Source organism: Homo sapiens, chromosome 16, assembly GCF_000001405.40.
Source record: "Homo sapiens chromosome 16, GRCh38.p14 Primary Assembly".
Taxonomy (NCBI): Eukaryota; Metazoa; Chordata; class Mammalia; order Primates; family Hominidae; genus Homo; species Homo sapiens.
The window spans coordinates 67,563,782-67,579,891 of record NC_000016.10 but is presented as its reverse complement, the minus strand read 5'-3'; the positions used below and the strand labels follow the sequence as shown (position 1 = coordinate 67,579,891).

General features: G+C 45.1%; 1 protein-coding gene across 5 annotated transcripts in view; it reads right to left on the bottom strand.

The window, feature by feature from the left end:
• The window catches only part of CTCF (CCCTC-binding factor), a 76,652-nt gene that overhangs the window by 59,286 nt on the left and 1,256 nt on the right, over positions 1 to 16,110 (bottom strand). For 3 of the 5 annotated variants that reach the window (NM_006565.4, NM_001438969.1, NM_001191022.2), the window contains exon 2: positions 8,628 to 8,744. The gene's annotated coding sequence lies outside the window, so the exon portion shown is untranslated. Of the gene's footprint in view, positions 1 to 8,627; positions 8,745 to 9,051; positions 9,130 to 16,110 lie in introns of those variants that run through there. The other 2 variants (NM_001438968.1, NM_001363916.2) reach the window with 1 other exon arrangement.

The window sequence follows — 16,110 nt, the reverse complement described above, 5'->3', positions numbered from 1 at the left end:
ACACTGAACTTCTTTCAGTAGCCAGAACATTCTAGGTCTTTCCTTTCCTGCCTCTGGGCCTTTGTACATGCCATTCCCTCTTCTAGGAATATACAAGCAATTCTCTATGTTTACACTAGTACACGAGCCTAAAGATGTGTATATAAGAAGGCTATCTACTACTAGGGTATTTTTCTCTAATGGCAAAAGATTAAAAACAAGCTGGGCGTGGTGGCTCATACCTGTAATCCCAGCACTTCAGGAAGCCTGGGCAGTTGGGAGGCCAGGGCAATTGGGAGGCCGAGGCAGGTGGATCACCTGAGGTCAGGAGTTTGAGACCAGCCTGGCCAACATGACGAAACCCTGTATCTACTAAAAATACAAAAATTAGCCGGGCATGGTGGCATGTGCCCATAATCCCAGCTACTCGGGAGGCTGAGACAAGAGAATCGCTTAAACCTGAGAAGCAAGGATTGCAGTGAGCCGAGATCACGGCACTGCACTCCAGCCTAGGTGACAGAGCAGCAAGACTCCGTCTCAAATAAAAAAAAAACAAAAAAAAACAAAGATTGAAAACAACTCAAACGTCTAGAACAACGTGTATAGTAAGCTACTATTTGTGCTTTATTTTTTATTTTTATTATTTATTTATTTATTTTGAGACGGAGTTTCACTCTTGTTGCCCAGGCTGGAGTGCAATGGCGATCTCGGCTCACTGCAACCTCCACCTCCCAGGTTCAAGCGATTCTCCTGCCTCAGCCTCCCGAGTAGCTGAGATTACAGGCGTGTGCCACCACACTCCGCTAATTTTTGTATTTTTAGTAGAGATGGGGTTTCACCATGTTGGTCAGGCTGGTCTTGAACTCCTGACCTCAGGTGATCCACGCACCTTGGCCTCCCAAAGTGCTGGGATTACAGGCGTGAGCCACCACGCCCGGCCTTTTATTTTTATTTATTTATTTTTGAGACGAAGTCTTGCTCTTGTCCCCCAGGCTGGAGTGCAATGGTGCAATCTCGGCTCACTGCAACCTCCACTTCCCGGGTTGAAGCGATTCTCCTGCCTCAGCCACCTGAGTAGCTGAGATTACAGGCGCCTGCCACCACGCCCAGCTAATTTTTGTATTTTTAGTAGAGATGGGGTTTCACCATGTTGGCCAGGCTGGTCTCGAATTCCTGACCTCAGGTGATCCGCCTGCCTCGGCCTCCCAAAATGCTGAGATTACAGGCGTGAGACACCATGCCCGGCCTATTTGTGCTTTTTTAAAAAGATACATAAACTTGGCCAGGCACATTGGCTCATGCTTGTAATCACAGCAATTTGGGAGGCCGAGGTGGGTGGAACACTTGAGGCCAGGAGTTCGAGACCAGCCTGGCCAACACGGTGAAATCCCATCTCTACTAAAACTACAAAAATTCGCTGGGCATGGCCGCACATGTGTGTAATCTCAGCTACTTGGGAGGCTGAGGCACAAGAATCACTTCAACTCAGGAGGTAGAGGTTGCAGTGAGCCAAGATCACGTGTCTCACTCCAGCCTGGGCAACAGAGTGAAAACCCTGTCTCAAAAAAAAAAAAAAAAAAAAAAAAAGATACATAAACTCATACATTTGAATATACGCAGAATTTTCTTTGGATGGATACATCAGAAATTGGTATTTATTGCCTCTGAGGAAGAAAAATGAGAGATCAGAGGCAAGACTGAGGATTACTTTTCATTATTAACATTTTGCACTGTTTGAAGTATTTCCCCCTCATGTTCTTACATTAAATGTGGTGGTTACAGAAAATTTCCATAGCACAATTATATTTTGTTTAAAAAGTTGTATTATATGTACATGCCTGTTAATAAAAGTGCAAAGTCAACACACCAGACTATTAATAGTCTTCAGCTCTGGGAAAACAAAGTTAAGGGATTCTTTAGGTTCTAATGTAATTCTACAATCATTAGACTCTTCCAAAGAATGAAACTAAACATTACTTGGGTAATATTTAAACAAAGTTTAAGACCAAATTTAAGTGAGGATCACTGCAAGAACTGCCTCTGCAACCTCAATCCCCTCTAACAGCTGGGCAGATGCAGGAGCTTCCTCCTGCCTTACTCTCCTCCTGGCTGCACTTCTATAACTGTTCCAGTGGCCCTCTCGATTCCACTCAAGAAGTCTAGACTGGCTGGGAGCGGTGGCTCACGCCTGTAATCCCAGCACTTTGGGAGGCCGAGGTGGACGGATCACAAGGTCAGGAGATGATGAGACCATCCTGGCTAACACAGTGAAATCCCGTCTCTACTAAAAAAAATACAAAAAAAAAAATTAGGCAGGCGTGGTGGCAGGCGCCTGTAGTCCCAGCTACTCAGGAGGCTGAGGCGGGGGAATGACATGAACCCGGGAGGCGGAGCTTGCAGTGAGCCAATATCGCACCACTGCACTCCAGCCTGGGCAACAGAGCGAGACTCCATCTCAAAAAATAAAAAAAAAAAAAGAAGTCTAGACATTACTGCCAAGTAAACTAGGCAAAAACACCTTTTATCATTTCATTATCCTTTTTTTTTTTTTTTTTGAGACAGAGCCTCCCAGGTTCACACCATTCTCCCACCTCAACCTCCTCAAGTAGCTGGGACTACAGGCGCCCGCCACCATGCCTGGCTAATTTTTGTATTTTTAGTAGAAACGGGGTTTCACTGTGTTAGCCAGGATGGTGTCGATCTCCTGACCTCGTGATCCGCCCACCTCGGCCTCCCGAAGTGCTGGGATTACAGGTGTGAGCCACCACGCCCGGCCCATTTCATTACCTTTATCAGAAAGTTTCAGTGCTACTTCCTACTGTACTGCATTCCCTTTTCCTTTAAAAATTATGCAATACAGGCAACAGGAGAAAGCTTAAAGAAACCTACCTATAGGTTTTATACACACATTCTGGCTTATATCCAAATTCGCAGTCCCCTCCCCAATATATACATATACTTACTCTCACGAGATCATACCATACATATTGTTTGATAATCTGCTTTCTTTGTACTTTGTTTCAAATATCTTGCCATTTCAACATATTTTTTATACATAATGGCTACACAACATTCTATTATAAGGCCAGGCACGGTGGCTCACGCCTGTAATCCCAGCACTTTCGGAGGCAGAGGCAGGCGGATTACGAGGTCAGGAGATCCAGACCATCCTGGCTAACATGGTGAAACCCCATCTCTACTAAAAACACAAAAAATTAGCGGTTCTAGCTACTCAGGAGGCTGAGGCAAGAGAATGGTGTGAAGCCGGGAGGCGGAGTTTGCAGTGAGCAGAGATCGTGCCACTGCACTCCAGCCTAGGTGACAGAGGGAGACACCATCTCAAAAAAAAAAAAAAAAAAAAACATTCTATTATAGGGATGTATCATAATTTAACCAGTCACCTATTGTTAAATATTTTTATAGCCAGATTTTGGTAATTCTGCTTTAATCTAAGAAAAGAAAAAAAGTATTTGCATTAAAAAAAATTACACAAACTATACAAAACCAACAAAAAGTGACCCCCAAACCAAACTACCCTCACACTACTAGTTTTGACTGATGATTTCCACGTCTGTTTAGTCTTTTTTCCCTAGGCATTCATTCATCCAAATAATTACTTATTGAGCTTCTGCTATACGCCAGGTTTTAGTTTGGGATTTTCTTTACTTTTATTCCATAATAATTAACTTTTTGGTATTATGCTATTAAAAAACCTCTCTCATAAGCATTTTGCTGGTTAACAGCCTTCCGTTTTTTTTTTTTTTTTTTTTTTAAGACAGGGTCTCACTCTGTCACCCAGGCTAGAGTGCATGCAGCCTTAACCTCCTGGGCTCAGGTGATCCTCCCATCTCAGCCTCCCAAGTAGCTGAGACTACAGGTGTGCACCACCACACCTGGCTACATTTTTTTTTTTTTTTTTTTTTACAGACAAGGTCTCACTAAGTTGCCCAGGCTGACATTCATCTTTTTAAATGGGTTAGGGTTTTATATCCCTTGCAACATGCAACGAGACCTTGTTTTCTTACCCACTTCTCTACTGCTCAACAGATTTTCTGATAAATCTAACCCATTTTCCTATGGCACAATATTTCCGTTTAGTTCATTAACATTTGTATTATCTGGTGGTCATCGAAGTTCAGTTTAATGCAAAATATATACAATAACCAACTTGGCTGGGCGCGGTGGCTCACGCTTGTAATCCCAGCACTTTGGGAGGCCAAGGTGGGCGGATCACCTGAGGTCAGGAGTTTGAGACCAGCCCAGCCAATATGGTGAAACCCCGTCTCTACTAAAAATACAAAAATTAGCTAGACATGGTGGCGCACCTGTAGTCCTAGCTATTCAGGAGGCTGAGGCAGGAGAATCGGTTGAACCCGGGAAGCAGAGGCTGCAGTGAGCCGAGATTGCACCACTGCACTCCAGCCTGGCGACAGAGCGAGACTCCATCTCTCAAAAAAAAAGAGGAAAGGGAAGCCCAAGGAAGTCACCTCTAATAGAACTGCCCTGCCCAAGGCCATATAGCTATTAAGCTGCATGGCCAGGACTTGGAGTCCTAATGGGATTAAAATAAAATTCATCCTCCCAAAGTGCTGGGATTATAAGCATGAGCCACCACGCCCAGCCTCAGAAAACTTAATTCTTACTTACTTATTTGTTTATTGAGACAGGGTCTTACTCTGTCACCCAGGCTGAATGAAATGCAGTGGTGGGACCACGGCTCATTGCAACCTCAACCTTCTCAGCTCAGACGATCCTCCGGCCTCAGCCTCCTGAATAGCTAGGACTACAGGCATGCAACACAACGCGTGACTAAAGAAAATGTAATTCTTTTTTTTTCCTCTATCCACAAGGACATATGGAAAAAATGTAATTCTTAAATGCCACTTATGTTAAGAGCAATATGTTAATAACAATACTTAGTAATTGTAAAACACACAGTTAAGAATAGATGCTTTTGGCTGGGCGCAGTGGCTCACGCCTGTAATCCCAGCACTTTGGGAGGCCGAGGCAGGCAGATCAAGAGGTCAGGAGATCAAGACCATCCTGGCTGACAAGGTGAAACTCTGTCTCTGCTAAAAATACAAAAATTAGCTGGGTGTGGTGGTGGGCGCATGTAGTCTCAGCTACTTGGGAGGCCGAGGCAGGAGAATGGTGTGAACCTGGGATGCGGAGCTTGCAGTGAGCCAAGATTGCACCACTGCACTTCAGCCTGGGCAACAGAGCAAGACTCCATCTCAAAAAAAAAAAAAAAAAAAAAAAAAAGATGCTTTTGGCTGGGCGTGGTGGTTCATGCCTGTAATCCCAGCACTTTGGGAGGCCGAACTGGGTGGATCACCTGAGGTCAGGAGTTTGAGACCAGCCTGGCCAACATGGCAAAACCCCATCTCTACTAAAAATACCAAAATTAGCCAGGCGTGGGGGTGAACGCCTGTAATCCCAGCTACTCGGGAGACTGAGGCAGGAGAACTGCTTGAACCTGGGAGGGGGAAGTTGCAGTGAGCCGAGATCACGCCACTGCACTCCAGCCTGGGCGACACAGTGAGATTGTCTCAAAAATAAATAAATAAAGTAGTCCTCTTAACAAACTGGCAAATCTAAAGAAGTGTTTCCTTGAGGTCTGTGAACTGCTTTAGCAAACTAATGGAACCCAAGAAAGAGGTCGTGGGAAACTCAACTTGAAGCCAGTTGGTCAGAAGCTCTGAAGGAATGGGCTTGTGACTGGTAGGAAGGACAGGTGGTCTTATGGGACTGAACCCTAAACGTGTGGGATCTGACACCATCTTGGGTAGATGGTGTTGGATGACACCTAGTTGGCATACACTGTTTGGTGTGTGAGGAAAATCCCTCCACCCCATCTTTGGTCACGTAAGTCTTTTTTTTTTTGAGATGGAGTCTCGCCTTGTCGCCAAGCCAGAGTACAGTGGCATGATCTCGGCTCACTGCAACTTCCGCCTCCCGGGTTCAAGCGATTCTCCTGCCTCAGCCTCCCCAGTAACTGGAACTACAGGCACGCACCACAACGCCCGGCTAAATTTTGTATTTTTAGTAGAGATGGGATTTCACCATGTTGGTCAGGATGGTCTCAATCTCTTGGACTTGCAATCTGCCCACCTTGGCCTCCCAAAGTGCTAGGATTACAGGCATGAGCCACTGGGCCCAGCCACGTAAGTCTTCTTTTGTGTTGATGGTGGTTGTTATGTGAAAGCAAAGGAAAAACCTGGGCTTGAGAGTTTTTCCCTACACAAATACTACAAGGACAAAGTAAGGAGCAGGATAGCAGAGCTGTTCTATAGCTCAAATGTATTGCTTCTCAAACATATCCACTATAGAACCTATACAGAGAGAACTTCCCACCCTCAGGCACTCATGCTCATTTTGTTGAAGACCTATGTTATCTTAATCATACAGTTTTCATTCTGCTCCAAAAATGTCTATTTGTTTTAATATAACAATATTTAATATTTATTTATTTATTTATTTTTTGAGACGGTCTTGCTCTGTCACCCAGTCTGGAGTGCAGTGGTGTGATCTTGGCTCACTGCAACCTCTGCCTGCCTCCTGGTTCAGGTGATTCTCCTGCCTCAGCCTCCCGAGTAGTTGGGATTACAGGCACGCACCACCACACCCAGCTAATTGTCTTCTTGGGGTTTTTTTTGTTGTTTTTTTGAGACAGAGTCTCACTCTGTTGCCTGGGCTGGAGTGCAGTGATTTCAACTCATTGCAACCTCCGCCTCCCAGGTTCAAACAATTCTTCTGCCTCAGCCTCCCGAGAAACTGGCATTACAGGTTCCCGCCACTACACCCAGCTAATTTTTTGTATTTTTAGTAGAGACGGGGTTTCACCATGTTGGCCAGGCTGGTCCCGAACTCCTGACCTTGTGATCCGCCCACCTCAGCCTCCCAAAGTTCTGGGATTACAGGCGTGAGCCACCGCGCCCAGTCTTTTGTTGTTTTGGGGGGGGGGGCGGGGGGGGGCAGACAGAGTCACTCTGTCGCCCAGGGTGGAGTGCAGTGACACAATCCTGGCTCACTGCAACCTCTGCTTCCCAGGTTTAAGCGATTTTCCTGCCTCAGCCTCCCAAGTAGCTGGGATTACAGGCACCCACCACCACACTCGGCTAGTTTTTATATTTTTAGTAGAGATGGGGTTTTACCATGTTGGCCAGGCTGGTCTGGAACTCCTGACCTCAAGTGATCTACCTGCCTTGGCCTCCCAAAGTACTAGGATTACTGGGATTTTGGAGGCCTTGGCCTTCCAATGTACTGGGTGTGAGCTACCGTGCCTGGCCAATATTTAATATTTAATCACTGACCAGTTAAATTACTTAACTCACCACCTCCTCTATGACTATAACTGAAGTTCTAGGAAGATGGGTCATGTTTATCTTTCTTGTGACTCCAAGTACCCCGAAATCATACCACCTGATTCCCTAAGGGTATTCATATCCCAGTTTGAGAAACAGGGATCTAAGCAATTAAGCTAGTCATAACACTTGAAAGTGATTAACGTGTTCCTATAAACCCATTCCCTAAACTCTTAAAGGTTCGATTTCTCAATAGTTTTTAAATCAGCAACTTTTGGTATGCACTCTGTGTCAACACTCCTAAAAGAACCTGCAGGGCGTAAGTTATTTTTGGAGTGACAGAATACTACCACAGACCTTCTCCTTCCCATCTAGCAGGATAACAAGTTGCCCATTTGGAAAATAAAGGTTTGAAGAATAACAGAACTTTCATTCCTATTCCCTTCTCTTTATTTGCTCCAGGCAGAGCTTGTAAGAAAAATCTTAGTAGTCATTTAGATGATTCATTCACATAAGCTTATCTAATCCTGGCATTTGTAATTTCCACTTCTACATTCCTTTTTGCCATTACACATGTACGATTAAATTATTTTCACATTTTTCTAGGGTCTGAAAAAAATGTGCTTTCCGGTACCGTGAGAAGAGATAATTTTTACAACCAGAATCCCACTTTGTTGTTTATGAGATCCCAAAGCATAGTAGATTCCAATATTTATAGAAGGTCTGTTCCAAGTTCCATATAATGTCCATTATATTTTATAGCAAAAATTACAGGCTAAATTAAAATGATAATCACTGTCACACTCTGACGCAAAATGGGCAATGAGCTAGGCTAACTCAAATTAAGACAATTTTTATCCAGGATACCAGGTTCCCCAAGAACAGGATTCCATCTGTTTCTTATCAAAATTACAAGTAGCCACAGGTCATGGACTTTCTTTTCAGTTCATTTGCCAATAGTCAAAATACACATTCCAAGGGTTTCTACAGAAAAGCAGCCACAATTTCCTGGGATCTTTCTATGTACATGTTCAGAATAGTACTTAAAGCTTTACAAAACACATTCTCATTAACGGAGAATAGTCTCTGAGATTGGTGGTGTTATTCTCTCACAAGTGAGGACTACAGGAGTAGACAGGTTAAAGTAACTTGCCCCATATTACCCAGCTAGTATATCATCGTAAAGAGTTTCAAACCCAGGACTCTGATTATGAAGCCTGTATGCTCTCAATCACCTGATATCCTGCATCCCCTATATTCAAGAATTAGCCAACAAATCCTCCAACTCCAGGAGGGTTATATTACTACCATTTTTAAGATAGAAAAAATGGAAATAGCACTTACCTCTCCGTGGCTGCAAAGTCAGTTTGAGGAGGGAAAATAGAACCCAGCTCTCAAGCCCCTGGTCAGCAATCTGTCCACTAGCGCATCTTGTTCTTTGGCTTCAGGTCCGTAATCATTCTAAAAGAAAAGCACAAATCATTTTATGAAACACTAAATTCATACAAATACGCATATAGTATGAAAAAAAATGAGGGAAAACTGAAGACAGAAAAAATTGGGAAAGAAACAAAACACCTGTTCATGTCATGTCACTAACCGAGCCATTCCATAAATGTCCACCATCAAGCCAATAACAAAACATTCATTTATTTTTTCACACATTTGCTAAATATATAAAGGACTAAAGGTTTCTAAGTAGCAAAATAGTACTCCAGGCTCACACCAGTAATCTTAACGCTTTCGGAAGCCAGGGTGGGAGACTCACCCAGGAGTTTGAGGCTGTACTGAGCTGAGATTGTGCCACTGCATTCCAGCCTGCTTGACAGAGTGAGAGATCTTGTCTCAAAAAAAAAAAAAAAAAAAAAGGCCAGGCGCGGTGGCTCATGCCTGTAATCCCAGCACTTTGGGAGGCCAAGGCGGGCAGATCACGAGGTCAGGAGATCGAGACCAGCCTGGCTAACATGGTGAAACCCCGTCTGTACTAAAAATACAAAAAATTAGCCGGGTGTGGTGGCAGGCGCCTGTAGTACCAGCTACTTGGGAGGCTGAGAATGGTGCAAACCTGGGAGGCAGAGCATGCAGTGAGCCGAGATCGCACCACGGCACTCCAGCCTGGGCGACAGAGCGAGACTCCGTCTCAAAAAAAAAAACAAAACAAAACACTCCACTGCAATATTGCAACCAAATAATGGCACACATATTCAAACTACCAAAAAATTAATTATTGGCTGGGCGCAGTGGCTTACGCCTGTAATCCCAGCACTTTGGGAGGCCGAGGCAGACAGATCACGAGGTCAGCAGATCAAGACCATCCTGGCTAACACGTGAGACCCCGTCTCTACTAAAAATACAAAGAAAAAAATTAGCCGGGTGTGGTGGCGGGTGCCTGTAGTCCCAGCTACTCAGGAGACTGAGGCAGGAGAATGGCATGAACCCGGGAGGCGGAGCTTGCAGTGAGCCGAGATCCTGCCACTGCATTCCAGCCTGGGCAACACAGCGAGACTCCGTCTCAAAAAAAAAAAAAAAAAATTAATTCTTATGGCTGCAGTAATGGCTCTCTAACAGTTTATTTCCGTATCTTTAGCAAGTAGTGGTCTTACTGATTAAGTTTGTTCATGCCACAAGTAAAGGCTATGCTTTCCAGTTTAGTAAGATAACTGGGGAAGCCAAGGCAGGTGGATCACCTGAGGTCAGGAGTTTGAGAACAGCCTGACCAACATGGCGAAACCCCATCTCTACTAAAAATACAAAAATTAGCCAGGCGTGGTGGCACACGCCTGTAATCCCAGCTATTCAGGAGGCTGAGGCAGGAGAATCGCCTGAACCCAGGAGCCGGAGGTTGGAATGAGCCGAGATCGCGCCACTGCACTCCAGCCTGGGCGACAGAGCTAGACTCCGTCTCATTAAAAAAAAAAAAAGATAACTGGCAAAAGGAGCTTTTACTGACCTTTGAAAATCCTAGAAGCATAGCAATGAAACAGTTTTTTTAGTCGAATAACGGAATACTTTGTTAGATGGCATCTTTTCACCCTAAATTACAAAATGAACTGTCAAGCTTCAAGCAAAGGTAGAGTGGAACCTACCTCTAAAGAAAAAGAAAGAAAGAAAGAAAGAAAATCCCAGGCCAGGCACAATGGCTCACACCTGTAATCCCAGCACTTTGGGAGGCCAAAGCGGGCGGATCACGAGGTCAAGAGATTGAGACCATCCTGGCCAACATAGTGAAACCCCGTCTCTACTAAAAATACAAAAATTAGCTGGGCATGGTGGTGCAGGCCTGTAAACCCAGCTACTCAGGAGGCTGAGGCAGGAGAATCGTTTGAACCCAGGAGGCGGAGCTGCAATGAGCCAAGATCGTGCCACTGCACTCCAGCCTGGCGACAGAGTGAGACTCTGTCTCAAAAAAAGAATAAAATAAAATCCCAAATGAAATAAAGAGCTAAATTTGAACTAAGTGTTTCCAAATAGGCCAGGCACAGTGGTTCACGCCTGTAATCCCAGCACTTTGGGAAGCCAAGGCAGGCGGATCACAAGGTCAGGAGTTCAAGACCAGCCTGACCAACATAGTGGAACCTTGTCTCTACTAAAAAAAATACAAAAATTAACCAGGCGTAGTGGTGTGTGCCAGTTATCCCAGCTATTCAGGAGGCTGGGGCAGGAGAATCGCTTGAACCCAGGAAGCAGAGGTTTCAGTGAGCCAAGATCACACCACTGCACTCCAGCCTGGGCAACAGAGCAAGACTCAGTCTCAAAAAAAAAAAGAGTTTCCAAATAATATAGCCAGGTGTGATGGCTCACACCAGCAATCCAGCACTTTGAGAGGCCACAGCAGAGGACTGCTCGAGCCTAGGAGTTCAAAGCCAGTCAGGGCAACATGGCAAAACCCCGTCTCTACAAAATACATAAAAATTAGCCAGGCAGGCCGGGCACAGTGGCTAACGCCTGTAATCCCAGCACTTTAGGAGGCCCAGGCGGGTGGATCATGAGGTTAGAGTTCGAGACCACCCTGGCCAACGTGGTGAAACCCAGTCTCTACTAAAAATACAAAAACTAGCTGGGCATGGTGGTATGCACCTGTAATCCCAGCTTCTCAGGAGGCTGAGGCAGGAGAACTGGTTGAACCCGGGAGACGGAGGTTGCAGTGGGCCACCATCGCACCACTGCACTCCAGCCTGGGTGACAGAGGAAGACTTCGTCTCAGGGAAGAAGAACAACAACAAAAAAAAGGCCAGGCATGGTGGCTCACGTCTGTAGTCCCAGCACTTTGGGAGGTCGAGGTGGGTGGATAACCTGAGGTCATGAGTTCCAGACCAGCCTGGCCAACATGGTGAAACCCCGTCTCTACTAAAAATACAAAAATTAGCTCGGCACGGTGGCAGGCACCTGTAATCCCAACTACTCCCGAGGCTGAAGCAGGAGAATCACTTGAACCTGGGAGGCCGGGGTTGCAGTGAGCCCAGAACATGCCACTGCACTCCAGCCTGGGAGACAGAGTGAACTCCATCTTAAAAAATATATATATATACACGTATACATATATATGCCAGGCATGGTGTTGTGTGCCTGTGGTCCCAGCTACTTGGAAGGCTGAGGTGGGAGGATCGCTTGGGGCAGGTGGGGGACAAGGCTGCAGTGAGCCATGATCACACCACTGCACTGCAGTGTGGGCAACACAGTGACAACCTGTCTCAAAAAAAAAAAAAAAAAAAAAAAAAGCCGAGTATGGTGGCTCACACCTGTAACGTCAACACTTTGGGAGGCCGAGGTGGGAGACTTGCTTGAGCCCAGGAGTTCAAGACCAGCCTGAGCAACATAGTAGGATCCTGTCTCTACAAAAAAATAAAAGAATCAGCTGGGCATGGTGGCACACGCCTATAGTACCAGCTACTTGGGAGGCTGCAGCAGGAAGACTGCTTGAGCCCAGGAGTTCAAGGCTGCAGTGAGCTATGATCATGCCACTGCACTCCTATCTGGGCAACAGCTATGATCATGCCACTGCCTCAATCAAAATGTATTAAAAAAAAAAAGTTTCCAAGCAATTTGGCACATGAGGTACATCTTCTAAGAGGAAATCCATCTCACAATTAGCTAAACTCCACAAAACTCACTAATACTTAGATGAAGCTAAAGTCTCCTCTGTTGAGAGGCAATTTTTAGTAACACAAATAGGTGATTAGCATATTTAGTCCAACCAACACTTCCATACTGGAGTCCATTATTATTACCAGCATACCTCAAAGGGAATGAAATTTTCTACCCCTGAAAATTCCAAGAGTGACCAAAAACAAGGATCAAGTGTGAAAGAATACCATCCTAACCCTCACCTTTGGACTGTATTTTGGCAGTCTATATGCAATGCCACAACTTTGCATTCAAATATTAAATCACTGAGAAAATGCACAAAGATACTAGCAGGAAAGATACGAAGACAGACTACAGAAAGTTTACAGGTGTTTAAAAAAAATGGGCTGGACACGGTGGCTCACACCTAATCCCAGCACTTTGGGAGGCCAAGGCAGACAGACTGCTTGAGGCCACGAGTTTGAGACCAGCCTAGGCAACATGACAAAACCCCATACCTAGAAAAAATTAGTCCCAGCTACCCAGGAGGCTGAGGTGGCAGGATCATTTGAGCCAGGGAGGTGGAGGCTGCAGTGAGCTGTGATCACACCACTGCACTCCAGCCTGGGTAAAAGAGAAAGACCCTGTCTTAAAACAAACAAACAAACCCCACAGGCCGGGCACGGTGGCTCACGCCTGTAATCCCAGCACTTTGAGAGGCGGAGGCGGGCAGGTCAGGAGATCGAAACCATCCTTGCTAACACGGTGAAACCCCGTCTCTACTAAAAATACAAAAAATTAGCCAGGCGTGGTGGCAGGCGCCTGTAGTCCTCCCAGCTACTCGGGAGGCTGAGGCAGGAGAATGGCGTGAACCTGGGAGGTAGAGCTTGCAGTGAGCCGAGATCGTGCCCCTGCACTCCAGCCTGGTAGACAAAGCGAGACTCCATCTCCAAAACAAACAAATACCCCACAAGAACAACAAAACAAATGTGGTAAGACTAATCTTTTTTTTTTTTTTTTTTTTTTTTTAATTTTGAGACAAAGTCTCACTCTGTCACCCAGGCTGGAGTGCAACGGCACGATCTTGACTCACTGCAACCTCCGCCTCCCGGGTTCAAGTGATTCTCCTGACTCAGCCTCCTGAGTAGCTGGGATTACAGAAACAGACATATGCCACCACGCTCAGCTAATTTTTGTGTTTTTGGTAAAGATGGGGTCTCACCATGTTGGCCAGGCTGGTCTCAAACTCCTGACCTCAGGTGATCCGCCCGCCTCAGCCTCCCAAAGTGCTGGGATTACAGGTGTGAGCCACCATGTCCCACCTACAAATCACATCAATTGAGAACCATGGTCTTCAAAGTTACACATTATTTGCCATTATTGTTCTTTTTAAATCATAATGCATCTGAGTTGTTTGAAGAGGGGCCTAATTTTTGGCAAAACAGTCAAGTCATCTGGAGCCAAGACAGGTAAATTAGGCAGACAGATGGTCTAGTTTAAAAAAATTAGGTGGAGTCTATAACGTAGATGATGTGGAATGGCTGTGACAGCAGCAGCATCCCTGAAGCAAAAAAAGCAGTCTCTAGAGGTGACTTTTGGCCAGGAGGCACCAGCCTGCAAGGCTCTGCCCAGGATTCCTCCCCAGGGCCTTAAGTCAGCCACAAGTGGCTTCCACCAAGGAACTCCCCAAGCCATTCAGAAGTCCCAGGTGAGTGCCCCCATTTGCGTGTGTACTTTAAAATAAAATCCTAAAGCTCTTAGAATTTGAATGCATCTTAAGGACAACTTCACCTCTTAAATTCTTACATAGGTTGAATGGATCCCGATAAAGTTAACCTTTACAACTACTCTTTTTTTTTTTTTTTTTTTTTGAGATAAGAGTCTTGCTCTGTTGCCCAGGCTGGAGTGCAGCAGCACAATCTCGGCTCACTGCAACCTCCACCTTCTAGGTTCGAGCGGTTCTCCTGTCTCAGCCTCCCTAGTAGCCAGGACTACGGCGTGTGCCACCATGCCTGGCTAATTTTTTGTATTTTTAGTAGAGACAGGGTTTCACTGTGTTAGTCAGGATGGTCTCAATCTCCTGACCTCGTGATTCTCCCGCCTTGGTCACCCAAAGTGCTGGGATTACAGGCGTGAGCCACCGCTCCCAGCCACAACTACTCTTAAATAGGCAGTATTTTCTTATGCAGGCAAACATTCCTGTTTTAATCATCCTCCTATCACTAATTTAAATAACAGGTCCTGGCCTGGCGAGATGGCTCACGCCTGTAATCCCAGCACTCTGGGAGGCTGAGGCGGGTGGATCACCTGAGGTCAGGAGTTCGAGACCAGCCTGGCCAACATCGTGAAAACCCGTCTCTACTAAAAATACAAAAATTAGCCGGGCGTGGTGGCACGGGCCTGTAATTCCTGCTACTTGGGAGGCAGAGACAGGAGAATTGCTTGAATCCGGGAGGCAGAGGTTGCAGTGAGCCGAGATCGCACCACTGCCACTCCAGCCTAGGGGACAGAACGAGACTCCGTCTCAAAAAAAAAAAAAGGTCTGGGTTACCCTAACATATCAATTCATCCTCAATTTATTCTCTCCGTAGATTGTTTTTTAATAAAAACAAAACAAAGCATGATTCCTGGCATATGGGAATTTCAAAGGATAGCAACTGTGTGGAAAAGGTCTATTCCACTAAAACAGCATAAATGACGTATAAACCCAAGAAGCTGATGACTGCATATGAAACAACCAAACCAAGAAGCAAAATATGGTCTATGGAGCACAGTACTAACCCGGGAAAACAAGCTTTACTCCTGGCTCGATTATACACCTGCTGTATTTTAATTTTTAACTCAATGTTGAGCTTATTTAAATAAATAAAACATGCTACTTAACCACAATTTCAAAAGGAAAACAAAGTCACAAAAGAATGCAATAAATTACACAATTGGACTAACATATTAGATAATTAAAGGTGATTCTATTCCCAAGTCTAACTATCAATCAACGCTACTGCATTTAGTTACTCTATGCAATTTTATTGAGGAAGAGGGGTGGCAGGAATATTTTGCAGGGTTCCAAAAGGAGACATAGAAAGCGTGCCTACGAAGAGGACTGCAGTGAGGAGCTACACATTGAGATTACATACAGTGGACTGGACAACTTTGGTTAGGACCAGGCTGTTTAATTTCTTCATAAACTTAACATAGCTTCCTTCCTAAAAACAGGTTAATCCAGACTTTCTTCTCTCCAAAACAACCCGAACTGATACATTAACTGCTGCAATGAACTATATTAAGGCACTAGAATATTTACGGAAAAGCAAAAGACTCCCGCAATTCAACGGGATGCTTTTTAGTGAAGAAAGAAAACTTAAGGACCGAATAAATTTAAATATATGCCTTGTTTAACTTCCTTTCCCACCTATGAGGACTTGGTTTTTAACTTTCCTAGTTGATCGAAACTCAAAGTATGAAGACTACGTATGCGAATGTTTACTTAACGCTGAACTCGGGGCTACAGGAAGTCTCCTACTAAACAGTAGTTACATTAGGCGTAGATATTTATAAACCATCTGCAGCAAGTGACCCAGGATTCAATTACAACATCAACCCTCATATTTCATCGCATGGGCAAATTACCAGTCGAGTCAAGAATAAACTCATTCTGCCCTACTGGCGCTCTAGATCGAGTTGCACAATCCTGGGGCAGAACCGCCTTCACCTAGCCCTAGAGCATCAGGTACTAAGTTAGTGTGAGGACATTTTAAAGCGG